Genomic DNA, 17,605 nt, shown 5'->3' on the forward strand with positions numbered 1-17,605 from the left:
GGCTGGAGTGCAGTGGCACAATCTCCGCTCACTGCAAGCTCCACCTCTAGGGTTCATGCCATTCTCCTGCCTCAGTCTCCTGAGTAGCTGGGACTACAGGCACCCGCCACCACATCTGGCTAATTTTTTTGTAATTTTAGTAGAGACGGGGTTTCACTGTGTAAGCCAGGATGGTCTCAATCTCCTGACCTCGTGATCTGACCGCCTAAGACTCCCAAAGTGCTGGGATTACAGGCATGAACTACCGTGCCCGGGCTATTATCTCTTATTTTAAACATGTATAACATTTTTAATTATTTGTGGTAAGACAGGACTACTAGAAATAAACTTCCCCTTTATTTATTTATTTATTTTTTGACTGTCTTTAGTTTGCCTTCATTTTTGACAGATCATTTTGTTGAATATAAGATTTCTGGTTCACAATGTATTATATTTTACTCCGTTATCTATGTCATCCTATTGCCCTCAGGCTTTCATTGCTTCTAATTAAAAGTCAGCTGTCAATTTTATTGGGTTTTCTATCCTCATAGTGAGCCATTTTTTTCTGTTGCTGCTTTCAAGGATTGTTGTCTTTTATCATTTTTTCAATGATATATCTGGTTTTCTATCCATTTGTATTTACCCTTCTTTGTGCTATTTGAGCATTATATGCACATATTCATGTTTTTAAATCAAATTTAAGAAGTGTTCAGCCATTATTTCTTAAATATTTTTTCACTCCTTTCTCCCTTCTCTTCTCTTGGTACGCTTATTACTTCAAATGTTGGTGTACAAAATTTTGTCTCACAGGTCCGTAAAGAACACTTTTTAAAATTCTTTTTTTCTGTTTTCTTTTTTTAATTTTAGATTGGAAAATCTTCATTGACCTATACTTTCTGCTAAAAATAATTCCCTCACTTTTATTCATCTGAAAAATGCTTGAGAAGAAATTAATGTTTCTTATCTTTATTTTTCAAACATAGTTTTCAACCAAGATTCTTGGTTGATTTTTTTTCCTTCACCACTTTGAATATGTCAACTCACTTCCTTCTGGCACTCATTTTATCTGATGAAAAATTAGCTTTTAATCTTATTGAGGTTGTATTGCACACAGTCCCTTTCGTGAAGCTTCCAAAATTTTTAAAAATTTATCTTTCAATATATTTGCTATGATATGTTTGGGTGTGAATTTCTTTATTTTTGTGCTAATCCTATGTATTCCACTTTTTGGAAGTTAACAGTTGTGTCAAATTTGGGAAATTTTTGGTCATTAATTCTACAAATTTTTGGTTGCTTTTTCTCTGTCTCCTCTGTTGTTCTCATTTCATATATGCTGTTGCTTCGAATTATACTCATATTTATCTAAGTCTTTGCTCATTTTTCCTTTTCTGTTATTTGCATTGCATTATGTCTATTGACTTATCGTCTAGTTTCCTAATTCTTTCTTTACTAATTCAAATCTGTTGAATCCCTCGAGTGAATTTTTCATTTCAATTGTTGCAATTTTCAACTCTGAAATTTTAATTTTGTTATTTTAAAAAATATATGCATTGATATTTTATATTTAATATGACATTATTATTTTACCTTTCCTTAACTTTATAAACACATATAGGTGTCTGTATATATACCTATATAGATACCTACATATACTTCAATACTATATATAATACCTATATATATTTATACTATACACAATATATATACTATATATAATACCTATATATGTTTATAAAGATAATGGAAGTATAATAATATAATTATATATGTATATAATAATGATATAACTATGCATATACATATATCTATATATAGGCATTTTTTATTGCCTACTTTTTTCACCATATCTACACATCACATTTTCTTTTATCTGAAGGTCTTAAAATTAATAGTAAAAAACTGGACATTTTAGATAACATATTTTGTTAACTCTGAATATTGATTTTCCTCCCTGCCCATTCCTGGGCTTCTTATAGTTGTTGTTTGCTTATTTGTTTATTGACTTGACTGTAATATTTTAATGAAGTGTATTTCCTTCATAATGTGAAGCCTCTGATGGTGCTTCTCATAGTGCACAGCCTTGAGCTTGTGCACAGTTACTCTGGGACTATACAGATTTTATAATTATTCCTAATTGACTCCTTCTCAAATTTCTCCAATTAGCTCTCTGCCACTTTTGGTTTCATATCCAGCTTTTAGCCTCCATTAATTGCTGAATGATTGCTCTGTTGTTTTTGACTCTTCTGGGGCATAAATTTCTCTAAATCCAAACCAACTAAATTGGGTATTTCTTACATTAGTAGTTTTAGAGACCTATCTATGATTTTTTTTTTTCTTCTGACCCTTGGAGACTTCATAGCTGTGTATCTCCCTGATTCTTCTGGTAACCTAGTTGGCCTAATAGTTTCTCTCATTTAACTTTCCAGACTTTTCTTAATTGCTCATCACCAAAACCTTTATTGCTTTTAAGAATTCCTTTGGGGTTAAATATCCCAACTTTCTGTTTAAAACAAAAAAGTCTGCTCTCTTATCTTTGGAATTATCTGTTTTAATGGCTTGACTCTTTCCATTAAAAAAAAATAAGCAAATGAGCTACTGATCTGAAGCTAAGGTCAAGAACAGAGTCCCACTTCTCTTAGAGTGACACATGTGGCACATAAACGGGGGCTGGGCAAAGTGGTGGTCTCTGGTATTCCTGACTTGCCTCTTCCAGAGTAAATTCTCCAACTGATAAATGAATTAAAGTGATGTCAATCAAATACCAATTTTACTCCTCCAAGCTAGAGTAGAGCCTTTGCTATATGTTTTAGTATGAGAGAGGAAAGGTGTTTTAGAGCTTTTGGCTTTGCTTGCCTGGAATTTAACCTGTGGGACACAGAGCTGAGGTGGATGAGAAATGTTAGTGACCTGCCCCTCCAAGTGTTAATTATTAGCCCATTACTAGATGTTGGGGATAAAGGGCACAACATTTTATTGTTCACACACCTAACTGGAGTAGAGCTTCTGCCACTTTGAGGTGGGATTGAGAGAGGGACTTCTTGTGGCTCAAGTCCCACAGATGCTTGCTCTCTTTACAAGGCTTAATATATTTTTGAAGTAAATGTTTCTTCATTTACTGTATGACTTCAGAATAGTTTCTAGAGATTTTAAATGGCTGTCTTTTATATCATTTTCACTTTCTATGGTTGTTTCACTAATGAGAAGTTTCATAAAATTTTCCATACCACCATTCCAGAGGTGGATTCAGCTTTAATGCATTTCTTAAAAGTCTACACTAAATAGGGAATTTTATCTAACATATTTCAACTTTGTACTTGTTTTTTCAAAACTAAGGCTGTCAAATTAACTCAAATTTAAAATTGAAATAAAAGATTGTCAAATTTTTTATCAGAAATTATCAAAAGAATTACACTATGGACTGAATGTTTGTGTTCCCCCTTAAATTTATGTTGAAACCCCAATCCCCAGAGGGATGGGATGGTATTGGATATGGGATCTTTAGAAGGAAAATTAATTTATGAAGGTTGAACCCTCATGATAGAATTAGTACTCCTCACCCTCTCTCTTTCTCTCTCTCTCTCCCCTTCCCTCCCTCCCTCCTTCCCTCTCTCTCTTTCTGTCTTTGCTCTTCACTATGTGAAGACACGGCAAAAAGATGGCCATATACAAACCAAGAAAAAGCAGAGGGCTCTTATCAGAACCTGACCGTAGTGGCACCCTGATCTCAGAAATCTCAGCCTTCAGAACCGGAAGAAATAAAATGGTATTGTTTAAGCCACTATGTGTATGGTAATTTGTTATAGCAGCCCTAACTGAGACAAATGGAAATAGAGTGGAGTAGCTAAAGGCAGTCCAATAATTTTACTGAAAACTATTAGAAAATTCAGACGGCTTCTAAAAGCTATCTGTTTTAAGGCATCAGTTACCTGTTGAAGCAACAAAGCCTAAGGTTGCTGAGTTTTGAGAGAGTAAAAGAAATAAGAGAAGTGAAGTGCTGGGGTTCTTTAATTTGGTCATTTGCTGATTTTATAGGATCAACATCTTGTCTAGACAGAGAAATATTGATGGAGATCAGAAAATTTATTAGAGTATTTGAAGGTCTTGTGGGACTGGAGAGACAACGTTGGACACTTAAGTGGAAAATCTGACACATAACAGAACTGAGACTATCATTGTATTTTTTAAAAATAGTGGTTTTTGACAAACTGCAAAGGTTGCACAGTGGAGAAAAAAGTTTTTTCAACAAATGGTTCTGAATCGATGAAATATCTATATATGTTTTTAAAGTGAGCTTGAATCCATAACATTGTACCACATAAAACATTAAAGCAAGATGTGTCATAAACATAAAAGTAACTCATAATTATACATTTTCTAAGAGAAAATATGGTAAAAATGTATTTTTGTTAGGTAAAGAAATAGATAGTATGATAAAAGCATGAGCGTACAAGTGAATAAGTTAGACTTTATCAAAGTAAAAACTTCTGCTCTTTCAAAGACATGCATGAGGAGAATAATAAGAAAAGCCACACCTTAGAAAAAAAATTTCAAAATATATCTTATTACAAACTGATATTCAAAATTTAAAAACAGCTTTATAAACTCAATAAAAAGAAAACAAATTATTTTAAAATTGAGTAAAATATTTGAATAAACTCTTTACCATAAAGACAGGTGGATGGCAAATAAGCCATTAATAGATGCTGAGTCATTACAGAAATACACATTAAACACAAAGTGAGATAGTACTGCACACATATTAGAGAAGCTAAAAGTTAAAAGACTGTTGATATTAGGTTGTAATAAGGTGAAGAAAATTGGAACTCATACACTTCATGTGGGAATGTGAAGTGGTAAAAGCACTTTTGAAAAGCAATGTTTTGTGTTTGACACAAAAAGTGATAATAATTTTAAAAACAGACTATATTAAGATTATAATTTCTTTTCACCTAAAGATACACCAGTTAGACAATGAAATGGAAAACCACAAAATAGTAGAAGATATTTGCAATAAATATACCTGATAAAGATATTATATTGAAAAAATATAGAGGTCCTACAAATCAATAAGAAAAAGCCAAATACAAAAATGTGCAAGTGACTTACACAGAAATGTTATACCAGACATCAAAAAGGAAAAAAAAATTCACTACTTCGTCATTATACAAATTCATAACATAATGCCAACATATACTCCCAGAATGGCAAAAATGAAAAAGAAGGCAGTTACTATAATTTTTCAGTGGGAATGTAGAACAACTAGAGCTAACATAATGTGTTGACTGAAAAGCAAAGTGTTTTACAACCTTTGGGAAAATTCATTTTTTTAAAATTTTAAAGCCAAACATAACTCTTAGGCATATATCCATATGTATATATGTTTGGCTGGGCGTGGTTGCTCACGCTTGTAATACCAGCACTTTGGGAGGCTGAGGTGGGCGGATCACGAGGTCAGGAGTTCGAGACCATCCTGGCTAACACGGTTCCTGGCTAACACGGTGAAACCCCGTCTCTAGTAAAAATACAAAAAAATTAGCCAGCCTTGGTGGCGGGCGCCTGTAGTTCCAGCTACTCAGGAGGCTGAGGCCCGAGAATGGTGTGGACACGGGAGGCAAAGCTTGCAGTGAACCAAATTCATCAAAAAGGAGATCATACTGGGTAACCTTAATCAGATGAGCTCTTTAAAAGAGAATCCAGACATTCCCTGTAGAGAAAGATTTGAAAGTAGAGTTTCTCCCACTGCCCTAGAAGAAACCAGTAACAATACTGTGAACTCCCTATGAAGGGGGCCATGGTACAAGCAACTGAAGGAGGCCTCTAGAAAGTACGAGTGATCTCCAGTGGACAGCCAATCAATAAACAATAACTTTAGTCCTACAACCACGTGAAAGAGGACTCTGAGCTGCAAATGGAATGCAGCCATGACTAAAGCATTGCTTGTAACCTGGTGAGATTCTGAGTAGTGGATCAAACTAACTATACCCAAACTCCCAACACATAGTGATTATGAGATAATGAATTTGTCTTATTTAACATCAATTAGTTTATTGTAATTTGTTACACAGAAATAAAAAATGAATACAGAAAGTTAGGATAATGCTTCCATTTGGTGAGTGGGAGGGGATTACTGGGAAAGAAATCTAGTGGAGCTTCTGAAATGCTAGTAATGTTCTATTTCTTGAGTTTGGTATTATATAAATAAATATTGACTTTGTAGAAATCCATCAACTAGATACTTTTAATATATACAGTCTTAGGTATGCTCTATATTAATCTCTAAAAAAGAGATATATAAAGAAAAAATGAAAACAGAATGAACCATCAATATATATTGCATTGTTTTATCTGCAGAATAATTTTAATACACATATGAATAAAACTACACATTCAATAATTTCATAAATGTAGTTTTAATAGTTCTTAAAATGGCTATATTTCTCAATTAGTCTTTTCCTAAAGGTTTTCAGTCCTGCTATAATTTTTCTCTTTTTTCAGTCCTGTTTCAATTTGTATTCCATTTTTTCTTCCAAATATGGCAAAAAATAAGACAAATAAGTAATAAAACTACAGCTAATTTTTTAATAAAATATCACCACTCCTGTGATTAAAATACACTGTATATTTATATATTTTAAGTACCAATTAACACTATTGCCTTTCCATTTCAACTTTGCCAACAATATTGATGATTTTAGAAATGGCTCAAGGAAACTTTATGTGAAAAAGAGTTGCTCTATGTGGTTGACTCTGAATAAATTTTTCCCACTCCCTTTTGAAAGCTTCACTAACAAGATATAAATTCTCCATTTTCGATATCTTACTGGCTAGTCTTGTGTTTTTGTTACTGAATGTACTATATTTTATACGTGATATAACAGATTCAGTACTAGTGTTTAATTTTCTAATATTGAGTGTTTTTCCTTTCTGCTTTCATGTGTTTTAAATAAATGTGATGTATTCTGGGAGTCAATATTTTTATACTATCTTACAATCTATGATGATTACAAATCTGAAATTTGAATAGACACTTTTAGCTCTTGGCCATTTTAAGACATTAAAGCTCATTAGCAATCATTTGTCTACATGAACTACTTTGTCTATAGCAAAACTGAGATCAAATAAATGGTAGGAAACCTGCCTAAAAATTTCCTGCTCTTCACACTAATTTGAATATATCATCAATTTTTACTAACAGATTTGATATGATGGTAAAGAAAGATATTAAAAGAAAGGCTAAGTTGAAATATGTACATTAGCAGATGTTTGTTTATTCAGTTGCCAGTAATTTCTAAAATTAAATAACTTTATTTTTAAATAATTCCAAGTGATGCATATTATTTCTTTTAAATAATTAGAAATAATTGTTTTTGATTGACAAATTATGATTATATACATCTATAGGATACAATGTGATGTTTTGCTATATGTATACAATGTGGAATGAATAAATCAAGCTAACACATATATCGCCTCGCTTACCTTTGATTTTTTTATGATGAGACATTTGAAATTTACTCTCAGTTATTTTGAAATATATAGTACACTATTATTGACTACAGTACTCTGCTGTGAAATGTATCTCAAAATCTGTTTCACCTGTCTGAAATATTATGCCCTTTTATCAACAACTCTCCTTTTCCTCTCTCTCTAATCCCCCAGCCTCTGGTAAACATCATTCTACTTTTTACTTCTATGAGTTTAACTTTATTAGATTCCACAAATAAATGAGATTCTGCAATATTTCTTTCTGTTCTTATATCTCTTAGCATAATGTCCTCTAGATTCTTTCATTTCATCACAAATGATAGAATTTTTCTATTTCTTAAGGCTGAAGAGTATCTCATCATGTATAATGTATCACATTTTTAATCCATTTATTCATTGATGGACATATAGGTTGATTCTATATTTTGAGTCATGTGAATAGTGCTGTAATGGACATAGGAGTGCAGATATACCTTCAACGTAATATTTCAGTTCCTTTGAATGTATGTCCAAAAGTGAGATAACTGGATTATAGGGTACTTCAGTTTTCACTTTTTTGACGAGTCTTCATACCATTTTCCATAATGACTGTATCCACGTATATTCTGACCAACAATATATAAGAGTTTTCCTCATATCCTCTCCAATATGTGTTATCTTTCATCTTTTTGATGACAGCCATTCTAACAGGTATGAAGTTATATCTTGTGGTTTTAATTTTCATTTCCCTAATGATTACTGATGCAGAGTACTTTTTTATGTAACTATTTGCCAATTTTATGTCTTCTTTTGAGAAATGTCTATTCAGTTTTTTTGCCCACTTTTCAATTATTTTTTTTTCTTGCTATTGAAGTGTTTGAGTTCCTGTGATAGGCTGTTCTTGTGTTGCTATAAAGAAATAACTGAATCTGGGTAATTTATAAAGAAAAGAGGTTTAATTGCTCATGGTTCTGCAGGCTGTACAGGAAATATAGTAGTATAAATTTAATATAATATAAATATATATTTATATGATTTAATATAATATAATATCTAGTTTCAGCATATACATCTTTAGGAACAGAGATGTTCCCATTCTTAGTAATTCCATGGAAGAAACTTGGATTGGAGGAATCTAGAAGAATTCAGGGTCTAATCAAGTTGACAGGTAGATAACAGGTGTTATAGCTTTTCTTTAGAAACTTATTTATTTTTTCTCCATAGTCGTCCTGATTTCCACCAAAGATAATCAGAGTAAGACAAATTTGTTTGTAAAATCAGTTAGGTCTCATCAATTTTTTTCTTATTATTTACATACGTGCATCCAGAATACCAATTTGCCATATCATAATTTCAGTTTTAAAAATCTCCTTGAGGCTAGGCAGCAAAACCAAGGCAGAATTCAGATTTTACCTACAGTCTTGAGGATTCTGTACCTGTTAGGAAGTGATAATTACCTACTATAAGGCTGTGAAATATGAAAGCCAGTGTTTCTATGCACATTCTCAAATATGATATTCATGTTGAAGCTTTGGTAATATAACCAATATTTTAAATTGTATCCCATTATGAAGAAAAGGCAAATTTTTATTGAACTTACACAAATAACCATATTGCCATTAAAATAAAGTATACTCATGAATAGCTTCCAGACTGGGGAGAAATAAAGTAAAATATACATGTTTTCACATTTGCTCATAAAAGTTTACTTTACCAAATTGCTGTTAAACTGTGGAAAGCTTAAGAGAAAAAGTCTTTTTCTTCCTAAATGTGGAAAACAAAGCATTGAAGTGAACAACCAAAAATGTTTCTAAAAAAAGTCATGAAACATTGTTTTCATCAGATACTTAATCTCTTGTAATTAATTTTTGCCCTGTTTTATCTTGATTAGTAGTTTAATGAATTCATCTGTTTCTTCATTAGAGTTTTGAAGCATATTTATTTAGTTCATTAATATTAAAGTTATTAGAAACTTGTATTTAAGAGCACTTGTTAGAGTCTTTTTCTATGAATCTGGTTGCAAGTGCTTTTAAAGAACTATCAAAATAGTAGGTGGCAGAGACAGAATAGCCATGGTTAAGAATGTGTTGAAAGCTTATTATAACCAAAAACTGACAAGGAAATTTGGCTATTTTTGTGACATAAAAAATAATAGACAAAATCAAGACTGGTAACTACAAGGTTTTTAGAAATTTTATGCAATTTTTGAACATTCATTTTTTAACTTACCCATAAACGTAAGTGAAAGACCTAACATCATCTATTATTTGACAATGATTTACATTTTACTCAACATCTAAAATAACCCTTTTTTTTTTTTTTCTTTGAGACAGAGTCTTGCTCTGTCACCAAGGCTGGAGTGTAGTGGCAGCATCTCGGCTCACTGCAAACTCCACCTTCCGGGTTCAAGCAATTCTCCTGCCTCAGCCTCCCAAGTAGCTGGGATTACAGGTGACCACCACTACAGCTGGCTAATTTTTGTATTTTTAGTACAAAAATACCTGTTGGCCAGGCTGGTCTTGAACTCCTGACCTTGTGATCCACATGCCTTGGCCTCCCAAAGTGCTGGGATTACAGGTGTGAGCCACTGCATCCAGCCTAAAATAAGGCTGTTTTAGCTGAATATCTCTATTTTAGAAACCTCTGAGAAGCTCTAGGGCTTCCTGGATTTTCCTTTTGGGAAAAAAATCCCAAAGTTATTTGAGGTCAAGAATACTTAATTGAGACTTTGATTCTGGGGAATTTCACTAAATATGTCAAAGGATTCAAAACACTTGATCAAACTAGGATCACAGGTCACTATGACATAATAGTAATGCTGTTAACGAGAGTAATAATCAAAGACTTCAAAAGCAATCAAAATGCTACACAGGTATAACAAACAAACACACACAAAACCTTAACCCTTTCAAAGCTTATTTTTTCTAAGTAATCAAAAACTCTAATAAAGAAAAGAAGAAATTACCTGTTTAAAATGTAAAATATCTGTTTCCTTGACCAGTTACAAAAAAAGTAAAGAAAAACTGCCTGAAGTGTAATTGATTCTTCTAATGAAAAGTCCATTTAGATAACCTGGAAGTCAAACTTGATGAAATGTACTTGAACTTAATCAGACACAGGAAGAGTTTGTGTCCAAAGTTATAAGTGTCCACCATATAATAGAAGAATTTAAACACAAAAACTAGTACCTTGAGCAGGGGAATACATGGCTCTTATAAACCCCACAGGAAGATTTCTAGTTACATGGAACTACAAATCAAGAAAAGTAAAGAGTACAAAATAAAATTATACTGAAGGAAAATGTTTTTCCACTCCTTCAAGAATGAACATTTTAGTGTCAGGCCCTAACTACAGAGTTGGAACTAAAGAAAATAGTTGCAAGAGCTGACAAAAACAAACAAACAAACAAACAAACACATTAAAACGTTATTACTCCAACCAAAGAAAATGTGTATACCCTTGAGGAAAGAAGGACCTGAGACAAGATGCAAATTACATGATGTGAGATATGGCAAAAGTTGAACTTCTGAGATATGAAGCTGAGAAGTTTTAAGAGCAAAACCTTACCTTGATAAATAAAATCACCATTCTAAATGAAGAAGATAACACTTGTAGTCAGGAATTGGGGAGACTAAATGGAGACTGTAAAAGAGAAGAAAAAAATGCTTTAGAAAATGGTTGAACAGTTAAAGAAAGTGATTTCAGAATTAAATCAAAACCTCTTGCAAATTTTACAAAGAGCAAATCAATAATTCAAGAAAACCTTGTTTTTCTAACATAGAGGACTAAAACTCTGGTTTTATATTAGTGTATTTTTAATATTAGAGCTCAGTATTTTAAAATACTTATAAATAATTCCCTTCTATTTATACTCAACTTGATCAAACACATCTTTTTTTTCATAAATTCATCCTTCAGAAATCTTTCATGACTTAGACCATCCACAACATACTTATACCTTATGCTTTGTCCTATATTTCCTCTTTCTTTAAAAACCAGTCATTTTACATTTGGACAAAATTTACTTTTATTTTTCCCTTATCATTTCAAGAAAAAAGGAAAATAAATTTCACTTCTTACTTTTTGCTCTTTGCTTTTTAACTTTTGTTCACTCAAATGCATCTTCATACTTATAACTTACTTTACATCTCTCTCCCTGTTAGTTACTGATTTCTTTCTATCTTGTTTCTATTTCTTTTCTAAATTTAGTTTTTGAAATGGCTTTTAAATAATGATATGGTTTGGCACCCAAATGTCATCTCTCATGTTGTGGGAGGCACCTGGTAGGGGGTAATTGAATCATGGGGGCAGGCCTTTCCCATGCTATTCTTGTGATAGTGAATAACTCTCATGAGATATGATGGTTATAAAAAGGGGAGTTTGCCTGCACAAGTGCTCCTTTCTTTGTCTGCCACCATCCATGTAAGATTTGACTTGCTCCTCCTTGCCTTCCACCACGATTGTGAGACTTACCCACCCACATGAAACTGTAAGTCTGATTAAACCTCTTCCTTTTATAAATTGCCCAGTCTCAGGTATGTCTTTATCAGCAGTATGAAAATGGACTAATACAGTACATTGGTACCAGTACAGTGAGGTGCTGCTGAAAAGATACTCGACTATGTGGAGGCAACTTTGGAACTGGGTAACAGGAAGAGGTTGGAACAGTTTGGAGGGCTCAGAAGAAGACAGGAAAATGTGGGAAAGTTTGGAACTTCCTAGAGACTTGTTGAATGGCTTTGACCAAAAGCCTGATAGCAATATGGACAATAAGGTCCAGACTGAGATGGTCTCAGATGGACATGAAGAACTTGTTGGGAACTGGAGCAAAGGTGACCCTTGTTATGTTTTAGCAAAGAGACTGGAGGCATTTTGCTCTTGCCCTAGAGATTTTTGGAACTTTGAACTTGAGAGATATGATTTAGAGTATCTGGCAGAAGAAATTTTTAAGCAGCAAAGTATTCAAGAGGTGACTTGGGTGCTGTTAAAGGAGTTCAGATTTAAAGGGAAGCTGAGCATAAAAGTTTGGAAAATTTGCAGCCTGATAATGCAATTGAAAAGAAAAGCCCATTTTCTGAGGAGAAATTCAAACCAGTGGCAGAACTTTGCATAAGTAATGAGGAGCTGAATGTTAATCCCAAAGACAATGGGGAACATGTCTCCAGGGCATGTCAAAGGTCTTCACAGCAGTCCCTCCCATCACAGGCCCAGGGGCCTAGGAGGAAAAAGTGTTTTTATGGGCCAGGCCCAGGGCCCCCCTGCTGTGTGCAGCCTAGGGACTTGGTGCTCTACCTCCCAGCCACTTCACCCGTGGCTGAAAGGGGCCAACTTAGAGCTTGGGCCATGGCTTCAGAGGGTGCAAGCCTCAAGCCTTGGCGGCTTCCAAATGGTGTTGAGTCTGCCGGTACATAGAAGTCAACAATTGAGGTTTAGGAACCTCTGCCAAGATTTCAGAGGATGTATGGAAATGCCTGGATGTCCAGGCAAAAGTTTGCTGCAGGGGTGGGCTCTCACGGAGAACTTCTGCTAGGGCAGTGCAGAAGGGAAATGTAGGGTCAGAGCCCCCACACAGAGTTCCTACTGGGGCATGACCTAGTGGAGCTTTGAGAAGAAGGCCACCATCCTCCAGGCCTCAGAACGGTAGATTGACTGATAGCTTGACCCATGCGCCTGGAATAGCAGCAGACACTCAAAGCCTGTGAAAGCAGCCAGGAGGGAGGCTCTACTCTGCAATCCCATGGGGGCAGAGCTGCCCAAGACCATTGGAACCCACCTCTTGCATCAGCATGACCTGGATTTGAGACATGTAATCAAAGGAGATCATTTTGGAACTTTAAGATTTGACTCCCCTGCTAGATTTCAAACTTGCACGGGGCCTGTAGCCCCTTTGTTTTGGCCAAATTCTCCCATTTGGAATGGCTGTATTTACCAAATGCCTGTACCAGCATTGTATCTAGGAAGTAACTAACTTGCTTTTGATTTTACAGGCTCATAGGCAGAAGGGACTTGCCTTGTCTCAAATGAGACTTTGGACTGTCAAATTTGAGTTAATGCTGAAAGAGTTAAGACACTGGGGGACTATTGGGAAGGCATAACTGGTTATGAAATGTGAGGACATGAGATTTGGGAGGGGCCAGGGGAAGAATGACATGGTTTGGCTCTGTGTCCCCACCCAAATCTCATCTTGAATTCCCATGTGTTGTGAGAGGGACCTGGTAGGAGGTAACTGGGAGCAGGTATTGCCTGTGTTGTTCTTGTGATAGTGAATAAGTCTCATGAGATATGATGGTTATAAAAAGTGGAGTTTGCCTCTACAAATGGTCCTCTCTTTTCCTGCCACCATCCACGAAAATGAGACTTGCTCCTCATTGACTTCCACAATGATCATGAGGCTTCCTCAGCCATGTGGAACTGTTAAGTCCATTTAAACCTCTTTCTTTTGTAAATTGCCCAGTCTCAGGTATGTCCTTATCAGCAGTGTGAAAACAGACTAATACAAATAACCTCAAATTTAGAAAAAAAAATTTTGTATTTTTTAATAGAGAACATATTTTTATGCTTTTCTTATCATTTCTCTTATTAAAATATATCTTACTTTTTTGATATTCTTTCAATACAGAATTATATACTAATTATAATTTTAACTCTTAGTAACCTTACCTTCTAGTGGTAACCTAGAAAATAAGGAATTTTAAACTGATTTGCCACATACCAGTATTTTCTACATGGTAATCTTCTAGGTGTTTCTAATTTTTAGAAACATCTTTTGCCCTAACATGATTTTATGTATGTTAATAGACCCAAATATTTTTACTCTTCCTGTAAAATTTAAGAAGCTGAAAACAAACTTATGTTTATATTCAATAATTTGCATTTCAATGTTTTTTCTTATTTGAAAATAACCTAGCCATTTGAGTATTTATCACTTATATAACTTTAAAATTTCAAATTACATGCAAAGCTTATTTATAAAGTTGATCCCATTTATATTAACTTTATTTACTTTTATCAATTATATCAAGATTACTTGTAAAAACTGATAGAAAAAGCTAGTCATCATTTCAAGTTATTTTCTTGTTACCCTGTTTTAGAGCCTATAAATATCAGATGTTCACTGAAATAAGAATCTTAAGCTAAATATATGAGTATTTCACCAATAACTGAGAAGATATATCTGTTTTCAGCAAACCAACAATTTTAGTCTTAGTATTCAAATAGTTACACAAACAAAGATCACTCTGTTTTAAGTATTAATTCATATTTGTATACCTGACATTTCACTTCAAAAGGAAGAGGAATTTAATGACAAACTTCTCAGCATTTACAGAACTATATCCTAAGTGTGAATTTTTAAATAAATTAAAACTGATATAAAAAACAGTATACTTTCTTTGTAAGTGTATATTAAACATAACATAGGAAACCATTTTGGTTTCACAATGGAATTTGCTTTCTTTAAAAATATATGAAGAAAAAATCAAAACAAAAATATAATTATGTATTCAATTAATATTTATTAAGCTCCTGCCTAGAGACAGGCACAACTAGACACTGACGAAAAAGTATGAGAAAACATATGCAAAGTACCTGCTTCATGCTTACATACTATAAAAGGAAAATGAAAAGTTCAATTGAGTTACTATAGCACATATATCTCAATATCTATATCTGGACAGATAGTTATAAGTTACACTGTCATATTACATTTAAAAAATAAAAGAAAGAAAGAAAAGAACAAATGTTCAAATATCAATGTTGGGAGTAAATGGATAGTAGCAAAGGCTGACTGTGATCTCTGGTCGGGGATCATAGAGAAAGTTAGCCTTTAGGAGAATTTAAGGCAACTACCAACTAAATTAAAGCTTCTAAAGTTATAATTTTTGGTAATCATATAGAAAATGGATGGATTTTAGTGAGTATCAAGAATCCAAATAAAGAAAAAATTGATTTTTGCATACAAGCAAAAGTAATTTATAAGCCTTGAAGAAAAATTACCCCAAATCATCTTTGTATTATGCTTAAACATATATGGCAAACCCACAACTTGCTTATTTCATTGATTTTTTTCCCAGCAAATTGTTGTGAATTGCCTAGACTTTGTAACTGAAATATAGTTGAAGACTACTCCTGATAGGACTGCTGTTTTCTTCCTTCCTGCCTTAAATAGTTCCAATATTGCAAGCTTCATGCCATGGAGCGATGAGGCAAAACACACCTAAATACATAGAACACAGGCAGAGGTCTTGGTTTTTGGTAATACATTTAAGTTACCACAGATCTGACCTGATCTCTTTAAAACTGCTTGCTATGTGAGAAAAAAAAAAAAACTTGTAAAAGTTCACAGCTTTATTCATTATGACTTCTAACCAATTGCATCACTGATTGAAAGACTGTGCAAGAATAACATCATGTGTGGTTGGTGTGTTCCATTTTAGAGATATCTTTTTCACCCTTCTTACATGTGAAGTGATACAAGCTCTCTCTAATATCCCAGGGTATATTGGTATGATAATTTGCCAGTTGAGCAAATTTGCTTTAACCTTGGTTCATGAAACATATATGGAGAGATAAATGCACATTTATTTAGTTCATGAGCAGAGAATCCACTACATTGCATTATTGCAGGCATGATATAATAGCAGAATAGATGATTGAGTAAATAATATATAACTATACAATAAAAATTTCAAAATATTATATATGTTATTATATGAATATTTTAGAATGACACTTGAAACATTCAGTGCATGTACCATTTAGTACCATGTACTGAAGGGTACAATGCAGGGTGTAGGTTTTGTATCCTGGCTGGCCTTTTTGCACCCTGGCTGGCCATGTACTAAATAGTACATGCACTGAGTGAGACAATGCAGTATGTCAGTTTTGTATCCTGGCTGGCCTTTTTGTATTCTGGCTGGCCATGTACTAAATAGTACATGCACTGAATGGGACAATGCAGTATGTAGGTTTTGTATCCTGGCTGGCCTGGTTTGCAATCTTTGATCAATTGTGTACTTCTACACTTTTATCTATCTCACTTTCTCATTTGTAAAATGAGGGTAAGTAATTCCTGTTTCAGAAGAGGTACATGGAAAACATATGTAACAGAAAAGTACTGTCATTTTTACTTAGCACCTAGTAAATGTTTGTACTGGATTTTCCCCTTCATAAAAAATTAATTCTCACAAAATAAAATTATAATTAATAACTATTATGAAGATTCATTGAATAATATTTCCTCTGTTTTATATTTTAGTAGATCAATAAACCAAACTCCCTGTCACCTCAGACTCTGCACCTGTTAAAGCCCTGTAAAGAGCCGACATGTAAGGACTTATACTGACTGGATACAGAGAATATGGAGCAAATCAAACGTATTTAAATAGTAAATTATCATATTGTTATAAATAAAAATTTACATTGCATTTCCTTTTAGAATGTTACTTGGATATATATTCTTCAACATTTACAAATGCTGATGCTTCATGTACTTAAAAACGGAATAATTTTTTTATTTGAATTTCAATCTCTTGAGTTTGAGCGTGAAGACTTTAATATTAATTAGTCAGAGATTAAGCTGAATATGTCTTAAGTCTCAATGTTCTATCTTTCTAACCATGTCAGGCATGGTCTTGTGATCATTACACAGAAAATCTCTTTAGGCAGAAAAGCCAAGTGGAATTCAATAAGAGAAACTATGGCAACAAACACAATAAAAATTTTTATTCTCTTTGCTTAGGATGTTCAGTGAAGGCTCAGATCAATGAGTGTAAGTAATATTGGGTTTGAAGTACTTGGTTCACAAAGATCTACAAAAAATTGACTTATTTGAAGTTAAACGAGATAGGATAGATGCAAGAAGACAAGTGAAAAGAGATATTTTAATTTCATTCACTGTCACTTAAAAGTAGAACGATTTGCATGTGTTCTTGTGGTTGATATATATAAAAAAATAATTATACATCACATGGAACCAGGTAAAAATTAAATACGGATACAGGTTAGATTCTCAACATTTATTTAGTGACATAGCTACAGAGGGTGAAATGTGAGGTAAAACAAAATACAGCTTGCTATCAGGTTCCAAAGGAAATGAATACTTACTCATATCCAGAGTGATTATGGAAGACTTTGCAGAGGACATTGAATTTGTTTGATAGCG

The 17,605-nt window shown here is 33.5% G+C and overlaps 1 long non-coding RNA gene and 1 pseudogene across 1 annotated transcript in view; one reads left to right on the forward strand and one right to left on the reverse strand.

Annotated features, from left to right (window-relative positions):
• LINC01360 (long intergenic non-protein coding RNA 1360) overlaps window positions 1-7,443 on the forward strand; it is a 32,708-nt gene extending 25,265 nt beyond the window's left edge. The window contains exon 4 of the long non-coding RNA NR_110676.1: window positions 4,012-7,443. This is a non-coding gene — a long non-coding RNA (long intergenic non-protein coding RNA 1360). The remainder of the gene's footprint in view (window positions 1-4,011) is intronic.
• LOC105378800 (endogenous retrovirus group K member 21 Gag polyprotein-like) overlaps window positions 1-11,081 on the reverse strand; it is a 213,368-nt pseudogene extending 202,287 nt beyond the window's left edge.
• Window positions 11,082-17,605: the final 6,524 nt, after the last annotated feature.

The sequence above is a fragment of the Homo sapiens genome, chromosome 1 (genome assembly GCF_000001405.40).
Source record: "Homo sapiens chromosome 1, GRCh38.p14 Primary Assembly".
NCBI classification, from domain to species: Eukaryota; Metazoa; Chordata; class Mammalia; order Primates; family Hominidae; genus Homo; species Homo sapiens.